The sequence below is a fragment of the Homo sapiens genome, chromosome 1, assembly GCF_000001405.40.
Source record: "Homo sapiens chromosome 1, GRCh38.p14 Primary Assembly".
In the NCBI taxonomy this organism is placed as follows: Eukaryota; Metazoa; Chordata; class Mammalia; order Primates; family Hominidae; genus Homo; species Homo sapiens.
In genome coordinates this window covers 32,559,998-32,578,579 of record NC_000001.11, presented here as the reverse complement: position 1 = coordinate 32,578,579, position 18,582 = coordinate 32,559,998, and the positions used below count along the sequence as shown (strand labels likewise).

General features: G+C 43.1%; 1 protein-coding gene across 3 annotated transcripts in view, besides 1 other annotated feature; it reads right to left on the bottom strand.

The window, feature by feature from the left end:
* ZBTB8A (zinc finger and BTB domain containing 8A) overlaps positions 1 to 18,582 on the bottom strand; it is a 66,515-nt gene that overhangs the window by 27,362 nt on the left and 20,571 nt on the right. The window lies entirely within an intron of this gene.
* Positions 6,365 to 6,565: a silencer, noted in NCBI's record as "peak166 fragment used in MPRA reporter construct". NCBI's record gives its function as "represses an SCP1 promoter by STARR-seq MPRAs in K562 erythroleukemia cells {active_cell/tissue: K562}" and the evidence as "EXISTENCE:reporter gene assay evidence [ECO:0000049][PMID:32103011]".

Genomic DNA, 18,582 nt, shown 5'->3' with positions numbered 1-18,582 from the left:
AAGATTTTTTTAAAAATGAACATATTGAAAGATATAAAAATAGTCAAATAAAATTTCTAGAAATTAGGGCCGGGCCTGGTGGCTCACGTCTGTAATCTCAGCACTTTGGGAGGCCAAGGCGGGCGGATCACTTGAGGTCAGGAGATGGAGACCAGACTAGCTAACACAGTGAAACCACGTCTCTACTAAAAATACAAAAATTAGGCTGGATGTGGTGGCTCAGGCCTGTAATCCCAGCACTTTGGGAGGCGGAGGCAGGCAGATCACCTGAGGTCAGGAGTTTGAGACCAGCCTGCCCAACATGGCAAAATCCCATCTCTACAAAAATACAAAAAAAAAAAAAAAAAATTAGCCAGGAGTGGTGGCATGCTCCTGTAATCCCAGCTACTTGGGAGGCTGAGGCAGAAGAACTGCTTGAACCCGGGAGGTAGAGGTTGCAGTAAGCTAGGGTTGTGCCAGCCTGGGCGACAGAGCAAGACTCCATCTCAAAAAACAAACAAACAAAAAAATTAGCTGGGGATGGTGGCACGCACCTGTAATCCCAGCTGCTGGGGAGGCTGAGGCAGGAGAATCACTTGAACCCAGGAGGTGGAAGTTGCAGTGAGCTGAGATCACACCACTGCACTCCAGACTGGGCAATAGAGCAACACTCCCTTTCAAAAAAAAAATTTATAGAAATCAAAAAATACAGTATCTGGGCCAAGTGAAGTGGCTCACACCTGTAATCCCAGTATTTTGGGAGGCTGAAACAGGCAGATTACTTGAGGCCAGGAGTTTGAGACCAGTCTGGACAACTTGGTGAAACCCCCTCTCTACTAAAAGTACAAAAATATTAGCAGGGGTGGTGGCAAACACCTGTAATCCCAGTTACTCGGGAGGCTAGGGCATGAGAATCATTTGAACCTGGGAGGTGGAGGCTACAATGAGCTGAGATCGTGCCAGCCTGGGTGACAGAGAAAGACTCTGTCTCAAAAAAAAAAAAAAAAAAAAAAAGAATACAATATCTGAAATTAAAAATGCATTAGATGGGCTTAATAAGAGATTATAAACTGCAGAAGACTACTCCATGAATTTGAAGACATGAAGTGGAAATTATCTGAACTAAAGTTAAAAAAAAAAAAAAGACTGACGGCAGGGCTCAGTGGCTCACGCCTGTAATCCCAGCACTTTGGAAGGCTGAGGCGGGTGGATTGCCTGAGCTCAGGAGCTCAACACCAGCCTGGGCAACAGAGTGAAACACACCTGTAATCCCAGCTACTGAGGAGGTTGAGGCATGAGAATCGCTTGAACCTGGGAGGTGAAGATTGCAGTGAGCTGAGATCGCGCCACTGCACTCCAGCCTGGGCAACAGAGCAAGACTCTGTCTCAAAAAGAAAACAAAAAAGGACTGACAAAAAATGAACAAAGGCCAGGCATGGTGGCTCACATCTGTAATCCCAGCACTTTGGGAGGCCAAGGCGGGCAGATCACCTGAGGTCAAGAGTCGAGACCAGCCTGGCCAACATGGTGAAACCCTGTCTTTACTAAAAAATACAAAAAATTAGCTTGGTGTCATGGTGCACACCTGTAATCCCAGCTACTAGGGAGGCTTAGCCAGGAGAATCACTTGGACCTGGAAGGCGGAGGTTGCAGTTAGCTGAGATCATGCCACTGCACTCCAGCCTGGATAACAGAGTGAGACTCAATCTCAAAAAAAAAAGAAAAAAAAAAAAAGAGTCTGTGCATGGTGGCTCACGCCTGTAATCCCAGCACTTTGAGAGGCCAAGGTGGGCAGATCACTTGAGGTCAGGAGATGGAGATCAAACTGGCCAACATGGTGAAACCCTGTGTCTACCAAAAATACAAAAATTAGGCTGGGCGTGGTGGCTCAGGCCTGTAATCCCAGCACTTTGGGAGGCCGAGGCAGGCAGATCACCTGAGGTCAGGAGTTTGAGACCAGCCTGGCCAACATAGTGAGACCCCGTCTCTATTAAAAACACAAAAATTAGCCAGGCATGGTGGTGGGCACCTGTAGTTCCAGCTACTCAGGAGGCTGAGGCAGAAGAATCGCTTGAACTTGGGAGGTGGAGGTTACAGTGAGCCAAGATTGCGCCATTGCACTGCAGCCTGGGCAACAAGAACGAAACTGTCTCAAAGAAAAAAAAATGAACGGAGCTTTAGTGAAATGTGGAACAATATCAAATAGTCTAATATATTTGTAACTGAGGTTCCAGAAACGGTGGGGACAGAAAAAACATTTGAAGAAAAAGGGAAAAACAGAAATATACTGTAAGGTTCTTATAATATACATGAGAAGTTGACAAACTTTTACTTAAAAGGCCACACAGTAAATACTTTTGGCTTTGCAGGCTATGTAGCCTCCATTGCAACTACTCAACCCTGTTCTTATAGCACAAAATGTGTCATATTTATGTAGACATTTTGGACTTGATGAAAAAATATGTAAATGAATGACCATGGCTATGTTCCCATAAAACCTTATTTACAAAAGCAGGTAGGCATTCAGGCTTGGCTTGAAGGCTGTAGTTTGTGAAATCTGCTATATATGAAGCTCTATAATATGTGATGAGTAATAAGTGAAATGCATATTGTGATGAGGGAAAATGCATATTGTAATCCTGAGAGCAACTACTAAAAATAAGACAGAGATTAAGTTAATAAGCCAATAGTGGAGATGAAACAGAATACTAAAAAAGTACTCAATATTCTTTTCGTTTGTTTGTTTCAGGGATAGGGTCTGGGTTTGTTGTCCAGGCTGGAGTTCAGTGGCATGATTATAGCTTTACCGTAACCTTGAACTCCTGGCCTCAAGTGATCCTCCCACCTCAGCCCCCCGAGTAGCTGGGACTACAGGAGACCACCATCATGCCTATTTTTTTTTTTTTTAATTTTTTGCAGAGATGGGGTCCTGCTGTGTTGCTCAGGCTGGTCTTGAACTCCCGGCCCTAAGCGATCCTCCCACCATGGACCCTCAAAGTATTGGGATTATAGGCGTGAGCCACCTCAATATTCTTTAACTGAGGCAGGATAAAGAAAAGCAAAAGAACAAAAGATGGGCCGGGCGCGGTGGCTCACGCCTGTAATCTCAGCACTTTGGGAGGCTGAGGCGGGCAGATCATGAAGTCAGGAGTTTGAGACCAGCCTGGCCAGCATGGTGAAACCCCATCTCTACTAAAAATACAAAAATTAGCCAGGTGTGGTGGCAAGCACCTGTAATCCCAGCTACTCAGGAGGCTGGAGCAGGAGAATCGCTTGAAACCTGAAGGCAGAGGTTGCAGTGAGCTGACATTGTGCCACTGCACTCCAGCCTCGGGGAAAGAGCGAAACTGTCTCAAAAAAAAAAAAAAAAAAAAGGAAAGAAAAGAAAACAAAAAGAACAAAAGACATTAAAAAAAAGTTGGCATAAATAGGAAACAAATAGCAAGACAGTACACTTAAATCCAACTATATTGATAATTACATTAAATGTTAATAGTCTGAACTCCATTTAAAAAGGACATTATCAGGCCAGGCATGGTGGCTCACGCCTGTAATCCCAGCACTTTGAGAGGCCAAAGTGGGAGAACTACTTGGGGGCAGCAGTTCAAGACCAGCCTGGGCAACACAGAGAGACACCCATCTCTACAAAATAAAAATTAGCTTGGCATGGCGGCATGCACCTGTGGTCCCAGCTACTGATGGGGCTGAGTTGTGAGAATCACTTGTGCTTAGGAGGTCAAGTCTGCAGTGAACCATGTCAGCACCACTGCAACTCTAGCCTGGGTGACAGAGTGAGATCCTGTCTCAAAATAATAAAATAAATAAAACACTTGAGCAATACTATCAACCAACTTGGACAAATTTACATTTACAGCACACTCTACACAACAAGAGCAAAATATACATTCTTTTTAAGTACACAGCAAACATTAATCAAGATAGACCATACCCTGAGCCATAAAACATGTTATAATTTTTTAAAAAATTTTTATTTTTTAATTTTAGAGACAGGGTCTTGCTCTGTCTTTCAGTCTGGAGTGCAGGGCTGCAATCATAGCTCACTATAACCTCAAACTTCTGGGCTCATGCAATCCTCCAGCCTCATCTTCCCAAGTAACTAGGACCACAGGTGCATGCCACCACACCTGGCTAATTTTTAAGTTTTTTGTAGAGTCAGGGGTCTGCCTACATTGCCCAGGCTGGTCTCAAACTCCTGGCCTCAAGTTATCCTCCTGCCTCAGCCTCAGGGATTACAGGCGTAAGCCACCGCACCTGGCCTAAGTTTTTAGTATATTTAAAGGATTAAAATCACACAGAGTATGTTCTTTGACCATATACAATCAAACTAGAAGTCAATAGCACATGAAAATCCTGAAATACTTGGAAATTAAACATTAAACTTCTAAATAAATAGACATTTATAGAATACTCTACACAAATCAAAATGTGTTGTTTGCAGTTCAAGCAGTTTAGAGGAAAACGTATAGTTCATTTATTATTTTATTTATTATTTTTTATTTTTTGAGACAGAGTTTTCGCTCTTGTTGCCCAGGCTGGAATGCAATGGTGCGATCTCAGCTCACTGCAACCTCCGCCTCCCGGGTTCAAGCGATTCTCCTGCCTCAGCCTCCCGAATAGCTGGGATTACAGGCACGCGCTGCCACACCCGGCTAATTTTTTGGATTTTTAGTAGAGATGGGGTTTCACCATGTTGGTCAGGTTAGTCTCGAACTCCCGACCTCAGGTGATCCGCCTGTCTCGGCCTCCCAAAGTGCTGGGATTACAGGCATGAGCCACTGCGCCCGGCCAGGAAAATGTATAGTTTTAAATTCTTATATTAAAAAAAAAAAAAAAAAAAAAAAGTTTTAGCTGGGTGTGGTGGCTTTTGCCTGTAATCCCAGCACTTTGGGAGGCTGAGATGGGCAGATCACTTGAGCCCAGGAGTTCGAGACCAGCCTGGGCAACATAGTGAAACCCTGTCTCTACAAAAAATACAAAAAATTAGCCAAATGTGGTGGCTTACGCCTGTAGTCCCAGCTATTTGGGTATCTAAGGTGGGAGAATCACCCGAGCCCAGGAAGTCGAGGCTGCAGTGAGCCATGATCATGCCACCACACATCAGCCTGGGTGATGGGAGTGAGACCTTTCTCAATTAAAAAAAAAAAAAAGAAGAAGAAAGTTCTGAAAAAATTAATGAGTTAAGTTTCAACTTAAGAATCTAGAGAAGGGCCAGGCGCGGTGGCTCACGCCTGTAATCACAGCACTTTGGGAGGCCGAGGCGGGCAGATCACGAGGTCAGGAGTTCGAGACCAGCCTGACCAACGTGCTGAAACCCCATCTCTACTAAAAAAAAAAAAAAAAAATTAGCCGGGTGTGGTGGCACGCACCTGTAATCCCAGCTACTCAGGAGGCTGAGGCAGGAGAATCACTTGAACCTGGGAGGGGGAGGTTGCAGTTAGCTGAGATCATGCCACTGCACTCCAGCCTGGGTGACAGAGGGAGACCCAGTCTCAAAAAAAAAAAAAAAAAAGAATCTAGAGAACTAGAGAAAAGGAGATCAAATTAAACCCAATGTATGTAGAAGGAAGGAAATGAACAAAATAGAAACCAAAGAAATGATAGAGAAAAATCAATGAAACCAAAAGCTGGTTATCTGTATCAGTATCAATAAATTAATCATTATCAATAAAGATTGATTAACCTTTAGCTAGATCAACCAAGAAAAAAAAAAAGAAGACATAAATTACCAGTATTAGGAATGAAAGAGGGAAGCATCACTACAGATTTTACAAACATTGAAAGAATAAAAAGAAACTATTATGAACTCTATGCTAATACATTCAACAAATTAAATGAAATAGATGAATTTCCTGAGTGATATAAGTGATCAAAATTAGTATAAGAGGCCGGGCATAGTGGTTCATGCCTGTAATCCCAGCACTTTGGGAGGCCAAGGTGGGTGGATTACCCGAGGTCAGGAGTTTTGAGACTAGCCTGGCCAACATGGCGAAACCCCATCTCTACTAAAAATACAAAAATTAGCCAGGTGTGGTGGTGTGTGCCTATATTCCTAGCTGCTCAGGAGGCTGAGACATGAGAATCACCTGAACCCAGGAGGCGGAGGTTGCAGTAAGGTGAGATCACGCCACTGTACTCCAGCCTGGGTAACAGAGTGAGACTCTGTCTCAAAAAAAGAAAAAAAAAACCTAATACAAGAAAAAAATTAAAAATCTGAATAGCCATATATCAAACTTAAAATTTAAATTATATTAAATCAATTTAAAATATAACTTAAAAACTGCCCACAAAGAAAACTCCAGACCCAAATGGCTTCAGTGTTGAATTCTATCAAACATTTAAGAAAGACATAATACTCATCTATGCAAACACTTTCATAAAATAGACAAGGAGAAAAACTTTCAACTCATTTTATGAGGCCAGTATTACTCTGATACCTAAACCAAAGACATTATAAGAAAATAAAACTACAGACCAATATCCCTTGTAAACATGGACACAAAAATCCTAAATTAGCTGGGCGTGGTGGTGTGCACCTGTAGTCCCAGCTACTCAGGAGGCTGAGACAGGAGAATCACTTGAACCTGGGAGGCAGAGGTTGTAGTGAGCCAAGATTGTTCCACTGCACTCTAGCCCAGGTGACAGAATGAGATTCCGTCTCAAAAAAAACAAACAAAAAAAACCCCCAACCTAATATTATATTTGTGGCCGGGCGCAGTGGTTCACACCTGTAATTCCAGCACTTTGGGAGGCCGAGGCGGGTGGATCACCTGAAGTCAGGAGTTCGAGACCAACCTGGCCAACATAGCAAAACCTTATCTGTACTAAAAGTACAAAAAAATTAGCTGGGCGTGGTGGCGGACGCCTGTAATACCAGCTATTTGGGACGCTGAGGCAGGAGAATTGCTTGAACCCAGGAGGCAGAGGTTGCAGTGAGCCAAGATCGCACCATTGCACTCCAGCCTGGGTGACAGAGCAAGACGTTGTCTCAAAAAAAAAAATTATATTTGTAAATCAAATATATAAGAAAGGATAATACCAAGTGAGGTTTATCGCTGGAATACAAGATGTTTAACAGTTGAAAATTAATCAGTACAATCCACTACATTAACAGAACAAAAAAAAATAAGGCTATCTCAACAGACACAGAACAAACATTTGAAAAATCCAACACTTATTCATAATAAAAACTCCAGTGAAACAGAAATAGAAGGAAACTTCCTCAGCTGCTAAAGGCCATCTACAAAAAGCCAACTGCTAATATCTTACTTAACTGTGAAAGATCAAATGCTTTCCCCCTAAGGCAGGGAATAGGGCAAAGATTTGTGCTCTCAACTATTTCTATCCAACACTGTACTAGAGGTGTTGGTCAGTGCAGTAAGAGATGTTAAAGAAATAACAGGCATAGGCCGGGTGTGGTGGCTCACGCCTGTAATCCCAGCACTTTGGGAGGCTGGGGTGGGTGGATCACCTGAGGTCAGGACTTTGAGACCAGCCTGACCAACATGGTGAAGCCCCATCTCTGCTAAAATTACACAAATAAGCCGGGCGTGGTGGTGGGCACCTGTAATCCCAGCTACGCAGGAGGCTGAGGCAGGAGAATTGCTTGAACTTGGGAGGTGGAGGTTGCAGTGAGCCAAGATTGCACCATTGCACTCCAGCCTGGGTGACAGAGCGAGACTCAGTCTTAAAAAAAAAAAAAGAAATAACAGGCATAAAGAGTAACAAGGAAAAAGAAAACTGTTATTGTTTATAGATGACACAATTATGTATACAGAAAATCCTATAAAGAATCTTCTTGAACAAATAACTGAATTTAACAAGGTCACAAGATACAGGATCAACATATGAAAATCAGTTTTATTTCTATATGTTAGCAATGAACAGTTGGAAAATAAAAATTTTAAACAATGCATTCGTAAGAGCACCAAAAATGCTTAGGGGTCAATATAACTAAATTATTTGCAAACTCTATGTATTCAAAACCACAAAATACTTGAGAGAAATATAAACAATCTAAATAAGTGGAAAGATAAGCCATGCAGATGAATTAGAAGAAACAGTTAATATGTCAATTCTATTCAAGTGGACGTACAGGATTAATGTAATCCCAACAAAATCCAAGCAAATTTATCTCTGTAGAAAGTATCAAGCTGCTTCTAAAATTTAAAGGGAATTCAGTGGACCTAAAATAGCCAAAACAATTTTGAAAAAGAAGAGGAAAAGGGAACTTAACCTACGTAATTACAAGACTTACTATAACTATGGTAACCAAGATAGTGTATTATTGGCAGTAAGACAGGCACATAGATCAATGGAATAGAGTCCAGAAATAGACACATGAATATATTATCAATTGATTTTTTAGTCAGGTTTACTTTATCAATTGGCTTTTGACAAAGATATCACAGTCACTGAATGGGGAAAGGTTCATGTTTTCAAACAAATGGTGCCAGAACAACTGGATATCCATTAGAGAAGAAAAAACAATCTTGATTCTTACTTTACACAACATACAAATTTTCATTTGACAAGGATCATAGAAAAAGTTCATAGAAAAACATCATGGTAAAAGCTAAATTTCAGAAGAAAACAAAGGAGAAAGTCTTTGGGACCTTGGGGTGGACAAAGATTTCTTAAGACACAAAAAGTGTGAAGTACACCAAGTGCAGTGGCTCACACCTATAATCCCAGCACTTTGGGAGGCTGAGGTGGACGGATTGCTTGAGACCAGGAGTTCAAGAGTAGCCTGGGGAACATAGCAAAACCCTATCTCTATTTTTTACAGACAAAAAAAAAAAAAGAAATAGCATGAACTATAAGAAAAAGTTGACAAATGGCTTTATCAAAATTCTGCTCTTTTAAAGATACCATTAAGGAAAGGAAAAGCTGGCCGGGAGCGGTGGCTCATGCCTGTAATCCCAGCACTTTGGGAGGCTGAGGCGGGTGGATCACGAAGTCAGGAGATAGAGACCATCCTGGCTAACACGGTGAAACAACGTCTCTACTAAAAATACAAAAATTAGCTGGGCATGGTGACGGGCGCCTGTAGTTCTAGCTACTCAGGAGGCTGAGGCAGGAGAATGGCGTGAACTCGGGAGGCAGAGCTGGCAGTGAGCTGAGATCGCATCACTGCACTCCAGCCTGGGCAACAGAGCAAGACTCTGTCTCAAAAAAAAAAAAAAAAAAAAAAAAAGGAAAGGAAAACCAGACCACAAACCAGGATAAAATATTTGCAGTATATATATCTGACAAAAGAGTTGTACCCAGAATACATAAAGAACTCAACACTAGGACAAAAAACCCACGGGCAAATGATTTGAACAGACACTTCATAATAGAAAACAAACAAAATAAGCACATGAAAAGATGTCACTTCAGGGAAATGCCAATTAAAACCACGAGGAAATGTCATTACACACCCACCATCATGGCTAAAGACAAAATGACTGACAATACCAAATGTTGGCAAGGATGTGGAGAAGTTGGTTCTCTCATGTATTGCTGGTGGAAATGTAAAATGCTACAGTCACTTTGGAAAATTATTTAGCAGTTCTAATAAAGTTATACCTACTCTAAGACCTGGCAGTTCCACTCCTAGGTATTTATACAAGAGAAATGAAAACACATGACTACAAAAAAATTTATACAAGAATTTTCATAGCAGCTTTGTTCATATTAGCCCCAAATTGGAAATAAAATGTGCGTCTGCTGGTGAATAAATAAATTGTAGTATATCCATACCATGGAACACTACTGAACAATAGAGCCAACAAACTTCTGATACAAGCAGTGATGTGAATGACTCTCAAAATCATTAGGCTCAATGAAAGAAGCCAGACACCAAAGAACACCTACTGTGTGAGTCCAGTTATATGAAATCTTAAGAATAGGCAGGGCCGGGCGCAGTGGCTCACGCCTGTAATCCCAGCACTTTGGGAGGCCGAGGCGGGCGGATCACGAGGTTAGGAGATCGAGACCATCCTGGCTAACATGGTGAAACCCCGTCTCTACTAAAAACATAAAAAATTAGCCGGGCGTAGTGGCGGGCGCCTGCAGTCCCAGCTACTCAGGAGGCTGAGGCAGGAGAATGGCGTGAACCCGGCAGGCGGAGCTTGCAGTGAGCAGAGATCACGCCACTGCATTCTAGCCTGGGCGACAGAGCGAGACTCCATCTCAAAAAAAAAAAGAATAGGCAGAACTAATCTATAATCACGTAAGGGAGATTACAGTTGCCTGAAACTGGGAACGAAACAGGAGGCTCTACTACAAAATGGCATAAGAAAAAAAAGGCATGAGGGAAATTGTAGGTAATGAAAATGTTTCATGTATTATTTATGGTGATTATTACATATGAACATATGTCGAACATTAAATTGTACATTTACAATGGGGGCATTTTACTGTATGTAAATTATATCTTAATTTTTTCTCTAGACAGAGTCTTGCTCTGTCGCCCAGGCTGGAGTGCAGTGGCATGATCTCCGCTCACTACAACCTCTGCCTCCCAGCTCCCAGGTTCGATCAAGTCTCCTGCCTCAGCCTCCCTAATAGCTGGGATTACAAGTGTGTGCCACCACACTTGGCTAATTTTTTTGTATTTTTAGTAGAGACGGGGTTTCACCATGTTAGCCAGGCTGGTCTCAAACTCCTGACCTCATGATCTGCCTGCCTCGGCCTCCCAAAGTGCTGGGATTACAGGCGTGAGCCACTGTGCCCAGGCTAAATTATATCTTTTTTTTGTTTTGTTTTGTTTTTGTTTTTTTTTTTTTTTTTTTTTTTTTTTTTTTTGAGACAGAATCCTGCTCTATCACCCAGGCTGGAGTGTAGTGGCGCAATCTCGGCTCACTGCAAGCTCCGCCTCCCGGGTTCACGCCATTCTCCTGCCTCAGCCTCCCGAGTAGCTGGGACTACAGGCGCCCACCATCACACCAGGATAATATTTCTATTTTAGTAGAGACCGGGTTTCACCGTGTTAGCCAGGATGGTCTCGATCTCCTGACCTTGTGATCTGCCTGCCTCGGCCTCCCAAAGTGCTGGGATTACAGGTGTGAGCCACCATGCCCAGCCTAAATTACATCTTAATAAAGCCAATTAAACCTAGAAACAAAAGAATTTGGTAAAAGAGCCAGTTTATGATAAAATTAATACACAAAAATAGCTAGGTGGCAGATACAAGAGAAGATCCCTGATATGGTTTGGATTTGTGTCCCCCGCCCAAATCTCATGTTGAATTGTAATCCCCAGTGTTAGAGAGAGGACCTGGTGGAATGTGACTGGATCATGCGGGCGGATTTCCCTCTTGCTGTTCTTGTGATTGTGAGTTCTTACGAGATCTGGTTGTTTAAAAGTGTGTAGCACCTCCTCCTTCACTCTCTTCCTCCTGCTCCAGACATGTAGGATGGGCCTGCTTCCCCTGTGCCTTTTGCCATCACTGTAAGTTTCCTGAGGCCTGCCCAGTCATGCTTCCTTTACAGCCTGTGGAACTGTGAGCCAATTAAACCTCTTTTCTGTATAAATTACACAGTCTTAGGGAGTTCTTTATAGCAATGCGAGAATGGACTAATACAATCCCTTTCACAAAAATAAATGAAGTTAAATACTTTGACCTCCAGTGGCTCCCATCTCACTAAGAAAGAAATCCAAAGTCTTTACCCTGGTCTAAAAGTGCTGCCAGATCTCTGAAAGATCTCCCCTACCTGCAGCTCTCATCTTACTGCTTTTGATGCCTCCCAAGGTGCCAAGCTCATTCCTGGCATCCCTTGTGTCTGCAACATTCCTCACCCAGGAGTGAAGGATCTTCACATAACTTGTTCCCCAACTCTACACAAGTCTTTGCTTAAATGTCACTTCATCAGAGGTTTCCTTGACAACCCCATCTTTAGTATGGGGAGCTTTAGTTAATCACTATGGCTCAATAGCTATTGTCATAGAAACTACACCATATGAGGTATAGATTAAGAAACATGATAGTTGTCTTCCAATACTGAAAGGCAATTATGTGGAAGAACTAGAATTATTTTGTTTTTATTATTATGTATTTTTTATTATTATTTTTGAGACAGAGTCTTGCTCTGTCGCCCAAGCTGGAGTGCAGTGGCACTATCACGGCTCATTGCAGTCTTGACTTCCCAGGCTCAGGTGACCCTCCCACCTTAGCCTCCTGAGTAACTGGGACTAGAGGTATGCGCCACCATGCCCAGCTAATTTTTTCTTTCTTTTTCTTTTTATTGTAGATATAGGGTCTCACTATTTTGCCTATGCTGGTCTCAAACCTCTGGGCTCAAGTGATCCAACTACCTTGGCCTCCCAAAGTGCTGGGATTATTGGCATGAGCCACTGCGCCCAGCTGTAGAATTATTCTTTTTTTTTTTTTTTTTTGAGATGGAGTCTTGCTCTGTCGCCCAGGCTGGAGTGCAATGGCACGATCTTGGCTCACTGCAAGCTCCGCCTCCTGGGTTCACGCCATTCTCCTGCTTCAGCCTCCCAAGTAGCTGGGACTACAGGTGCCCGCCACCACGCCTGGCTAATTTTTTTGTATTTTTAGTAGAGACTGGGTTTCACCATGTTAGCCAGGATGGTCTCGATCTCCTGACGTCATGATCTGCCTGCCTCAGCCTCCCAAAGTGCTGAGATTACAGGCGTGAGCCACGGTGCCCGGCCAGAATTATTCTCTTAATTGGTCTAGCAGACTAGGCTTCTAGACTAAGCACTAGAATCTAAGCTCCAAAAGGTATGAGTCTCTGTTTTTTCCACCTCAGCATCCCTAGCACAGTGCATAATGTCCAGCATACAGATGCTCAGTCAGTATTTGTTGAATGAATAAATATTCACTAAAAAGGAAATGGACCAAAATATAGGACTAAAGGGAAATGAATTTGAGCTCATAAAGAACAGCTATTTATTTATTTTTAATTAAAAAAAATTTTTTAAAGACGGTCTCAATCTGTCACCCAGGTTGGACTGCAGTAGGTGATCACAGCTTACTGCAGCCTCAGACTCCTGGGCTCAAGAGGTCCTCTCACCTCAGCCTCCTGAGTAGCTGGGGTTACAGGGCATGCCACCACGCCCAGCTAATTTTTTAATTATTTTGTAGAGACACGGTCTTGCTATGTTGCTCAGGTTGATCTTTAACTCCCAGCCTCAAGCAATCCTCCAGCCTGGGCCTCCCAAAGTGCAGGGATTATGGGCAGGCATGACCCACTGTGCCCAGCCTTAAAACGGATTTCTTTTTTTCTTTTCTTTTTTTGGGGGGAGGGGACAGGGTCTTGCCCTGTCGCCCAGCCTGGAGTGCAATGGCATGATCACGGCTCACTGCAGCCTCAGTGTCCTGGGCTCAAGCAATCTTTCAACCTCAGTCTCCTGGCTGGGACTCCAGGCACATGCCACCATGCCTGGTTAATGTTTGTGTTTTTTTGTAAAGATGGGGTTTTGCCACCTTACCGAGGCAGTCTCAAACTCCTGAGCTCAAGCAATCAACTCACCTTGGCTTCCCAAAGTGTTGGGATTACAGGCATGAGCCACTGCACCCAGCCAAAATGTATTTCTTACTGTGGGTTTTGGTAAGAAAAATTTGAGAAACACTGGGCCAAACTGATGAACAACAGAATTAGTCACTTTGCAAAGTAACACTTCCTATGCTACCATTGTAGCAGAGGTGGAATGTCATTGATTTTGGGTGACTGCATTTGGTAGGAGGTGGGACTGTATGATCTCTGAGGATTGTTCCAACTTCAACACTTTTAAACAATTTTGCTGCAGTTAAATGATATACTACATGTGTTCCTGTTTGTTACAATGAGATCCTGAAATAAATCAAGTTATACTATAAAATGCCAGCATAAGTTGTTGGGTTTTTTTTTTTAGATACTCTAAAAATGAGAGAAACTATTGGTTCTACTTTGTGTATTAATTGTTTTAGGTATATTTTGCTATTGAACATGTGTGCTTAATTATTTGGTATTTTGGTGAAAGATTAGAGACAGAGAGATGAATCCTTTTTCCTGAAGAGGTTATAGGTCAAAGGCTGAGGATAGAGAATTTATACCCCTAAATTCTAGAGAGGGAATTTCATTCTGCTTTTAAAGAATAATTCTGTTAAAAACAGGCTATTGGCTTCCATTACCCAGACATCTGTGTTACATTTCCACTTACCTAATAAAGCTCCAGACTTTTTTTCAATGTGAAATCATAAAAGCTCCAGACTTAAAGTGGCCCAAAAGTATTACGGTTTTATCACAGCTTATAACGTAAAAATTCTGATGTATCAATTACACTAGAGAAACACTGAAGCTTGGCACTGGGATGGAGTAAAAATGGTAAAATACCAATCATCTTGAGTTCTTAGGGATGAGTTATTCTGGTGCACTATTTTCTAAGGAATGAGAAATAAAGCAGTAATGTCCTTTGAGACCCTAGGGTAAAGAAGCCATAGAAATCTGGTGTGTCCCTTTCTGAGTGCTGTCACTTCTCACCATTCAAATACTGCAATGTCCTCAGGACCAGTGACAGCATGCAGTCTGCTCACCGTGCCCATGGTTTCAAATTAGCTGTTGCAAAACTGAGATAAAATGACCTTGCTGGCATCTCAGTATCAATTTTGCATAATGTCAAAATACAGCTCTGGTATCAATAACATTATTAAGAAGCAAGATGTACTCCCCATCCTCTTTAATGTTTTGTCTCAGAGGCCATTCCACCTAAGAGATGACTAGGTTCTATGATGGGGCTTCCTCAACCCCTCTGGCTTGAGAGTAAGGTGACTGGGGAAGAAGAGCCTGTCTAAAATAAATTATCCTTAGGAAGAAGGTGGCTGGGCGTGGTGGCTTATGCCTGTGATCCCAGAACTTTGGGAGGCTGAGGTGGGCAGATCACCCGAGGTCAGGAGTTCGAGACCAGCCTGGCCAAGATGATGAAACTCCATCTCTACTAAAAAGACACACACACACAAAAATTAGCTGGGTGTGGTGGCGGGCGCCTGTAATACCAGCTACTTGGGAGGTTAAGGCAAGAGAATTGCTTGAATCCAGGAGGCGGAGGCTGCACTGAGCTGAGATCACATCATTGCACTCCAGCCTGGGTGACAAAGTGAGACCTTGTTTCAAAAAAAAGAAAAAAAAGAAAGAAAAAGAAAAAGAAGGTGTCAGCCCTAGGGGGGAAAAGGAGAGAAATCCTGTAGGGTGGGGAATCAGGTCTTACAACTTTTCCTCATTAACTCCCTTTCCTTGGTGTGATCATAGCTCACTGCAACCTCAAACTCCTGGGCCCACGGGATCCTCCCGCCTTGGCCTCCCAAACTGCTGGGATTACAGGGTGAGCCATCGTGCCTGGTCTTGCTTCTCTTAATGTCTTCCCACCCCCAACCTCATTCTCACGTGATTCTATCAGGAGCCTCTGGCAGTAGATGATTTGCCTCTGGGGGAAATGCAAACAACTAATAATCCCTGAAAAAGATAACTAATCTTATAAGAAACAGAAAATAAGAGTTAAAACAATAAAGTACCTTGTAAGGATGTGAAATAAAGAATGAGGTACTCAGTATACCTACTTTAAAAATGTACCCTTGTTTGAAATGAAACCTAAATCCCAAATGCAGTATATAACTCTGTGGACATGTCTTATAATATAAATGATTTACATTTTATAATACCAAAATAACAGTTTATACATAAAAACATTTCAGTACTTAAAAATAGCTCAAGGCTGGGAGTGGTGGCTCATGCCTGTAATCCTAGCACTTTGGGAAGCTGAGGTGGGTGGATCACTTGAGGTCAGGAGTCTGAAACCAGCCTGGCTAACATGGTGAAACCCCGTCTCTACTAAAATACAAAAAAATTAGCTGGGTGTGGTGGTGGGCACCTATAATCTCAGCTACATGGGAGGCTGAGGCAAGGCAGGAGAATCGCTTGAATCAGCGAGGTGGAGATTGCAGTGAGCTGAGATCACGCCACTGCACTCCAGCCTGGGTGACAGAGCGAAGACTCGTCTCATCAAAAAAAAAAAAAAAAAAAAAAGCCGGACGCGGTGGCTCAGGCCTATAATCCCAGCACTTTAGGAGGCCGAGGCAGGCGGATCACCTGAGGTCAGGAGTTTGAGACCAGCCTGACCAACATGGAGAAACCCCATCTCTACTAAAAATACAAAATTAGCCAGGCGTGGTGGCGCATCCTTGTAATCCCAGCTACTCGGGAGGCTGAGGCAGGAGAATTGCTTGAACCCAGGAGGCGGAGGTTGTGGTGAGCTGAGATCACACCATGGCACCCCAGCCTGGGCAAGGCAACAAGAGCAAAACTCCATCTCAAAAAATAATTTTAAAAAATAGCTCAGGGGCTGGGCAGGGTGGCTCATGCCTATACTCCCAACACTTTAGGAGACTGAGGTAGAAGGATTGTTTGAGCCCAGGAGTTCAAGACCAGCCTGAGCAACATAGTGAGACCCCGTTTCTACAAAAAAAAAAAAAAACAAACAAAAATTAAAAAATTGGCTGGGTGTGGTGGCCTCCTATAGTTTGGAGGCTGAGGCAGGAGATTCGTGTGAGCCCAGGAGTTCGAGGCTGCAGTGAGCCATGATCACATCACTGCACTCTAGCCTGGATGGCAAACTGAGACTGTGTCTCAAATAAAAATAAATAAAAAATAAAAAAGTATGTACCACCTCCTTCCACTCTCTCTCTTGCTCCTGCTCCCGCATGTGAGACATGGGATTGAGTTGTGCCCCCCAAAATTATATGCTGAAGTCTTAAACCTGGTACCTACACTGGAGACCTTAATTTGCAAATAGGGTCTTTGCAGATATAATCAAGTTAAGATGAGGTCATCCTGGATTAGGGTGGTATCATTATAAGGAGAGATCTGGAGAAAGGAGGACACTGAGAAGACACATACAGGGGCTGGGTGAGGTGGCTCACACCTGTAATCCTAGCACTTTGGGAGGCCAAGGAAGGGCAGACTGCTTGAGGCCAGGAGTTCAAGACCAACCTAGGCAACAGGCTGGTCTCAAAAAAACAAAAACAAAAACAAAAACAAAACCACAAACACAGAAGGAAGAGCACCACGTGAAGACAGAAGCAGAGGCTGGAATGATGGAGCTACAACAGAAGGAATGCCAAGGATTGCTGGCACCCACCAGAAGCTAGGAAGAGGCAAGGAAGGACTCTGCCCTACAACCTTCAGAGGCAGCATGGCGCTGTCAACACGTTGATTTCAGAGTTTAGCCTCCAGAACTGTGGGAGAAGAATCAACGTACGTTGCTTCGTAGGTGATGTGATGCTAGGGTAGATGCTTGAAAGGCAAGTAGGTTTTCACTCAGAAAAAAAGAAGAGGAAAAGCATTCTAGGCAGAAGATATAGTTTGAGCCAAGGCACAGACTGGTATAATCACAAAATAGGAAGTAAGTTGTTCAATATGGCTGGAGCACAGGGTGCAAAAGAGATGGTGAGAAATGGGTGGAGCACCTTATTTGCTTCATTAAAGAGTTTGGATTAGACCCTGTAAGCATTGGGGTGGGGGTGGGGGACATTAAGGGGTTCTATGCAAAGGAGAGAGGCGATTTAGTATTTGATCAAATCAGAGAGCAGTAAGAACATCATTGGCAGTGAGACCAGGCAGGAGGCAGTTGTAATCTAGACAAAATGGTAGGGGTAGAAATGGAAGAGGTTGGGCTGGGCATGGTGGCTCATGCCTGTAATCCCAGCACTTTGGGAGGCCAAGGTGGGCAGATCACTTGAGGTCAGGAGTTTGAGACCAGCCTGGACAACATGGTGAAACCCTGTCTCTACTAAAAATAGAAAAATTAGCCAGGCATAGTGGCATGTACCTACTGTAATCTTAGCTACTCAGGAGGCTGAGGTGGGAGAATTGCTTGAACTTGGTAGGCAGAGGCTGCAATGAACTGAAGTTGCACCACTGAACTTCTCCAGCCTGGGTGAGAGTGAGACTACATCTCAAAAAAAAAAAAAAAAAAAAAAAAGAAAGAAAAGAAAAGAAAAAAGAAAGAACGGAAGTAGTTGTAGGTAGTGGTATGGTGGTATGAGTCTGTTTTCTGTTACTTATAACAACAACAACAACAAAAAACGCTGAAACTGGGTAATTTATAAAGAAAAGGAAAAAAAGCAGAAAAAAATCAGGAAGAAGAGAAAGGAAAAGAAGACAAATAAATGAAATTTATGTATTACAGTTCTGAAGGCTGAGACATCCCAGGTCAAGGGTCCACACTTGGCGAGGGCTTTCTTGCTGGTGGAGACTCTTTGTGGAGTCCTGGGACAGTGCAGAAGGATCAGTAGTGATATAGTTTGAATCTGTGTCCCTGGCCAAATCTCATGTCGAATTGTAATCCCCAGTGTTGGATGTGGGGCCTAATGTGAGGCGATTGGACCATTGGGGCAGAGTTCTCATGATGGTTTAGCACCATCCCCCCTTGATACTGTATAGTGAGTGAGTTCTCATGAGATCTGGTTGTGTGAAAATGTGTGGCACCTCTCTTCCGCCCACTCCAGCCATGTGAAGATGCCTGCTCCTCCTATGTCTTCCACCGTAACTGGAAGCTTCCTGAGGCCTCCCCAGAAGCAGAAGCTACTATGCTTCCTGT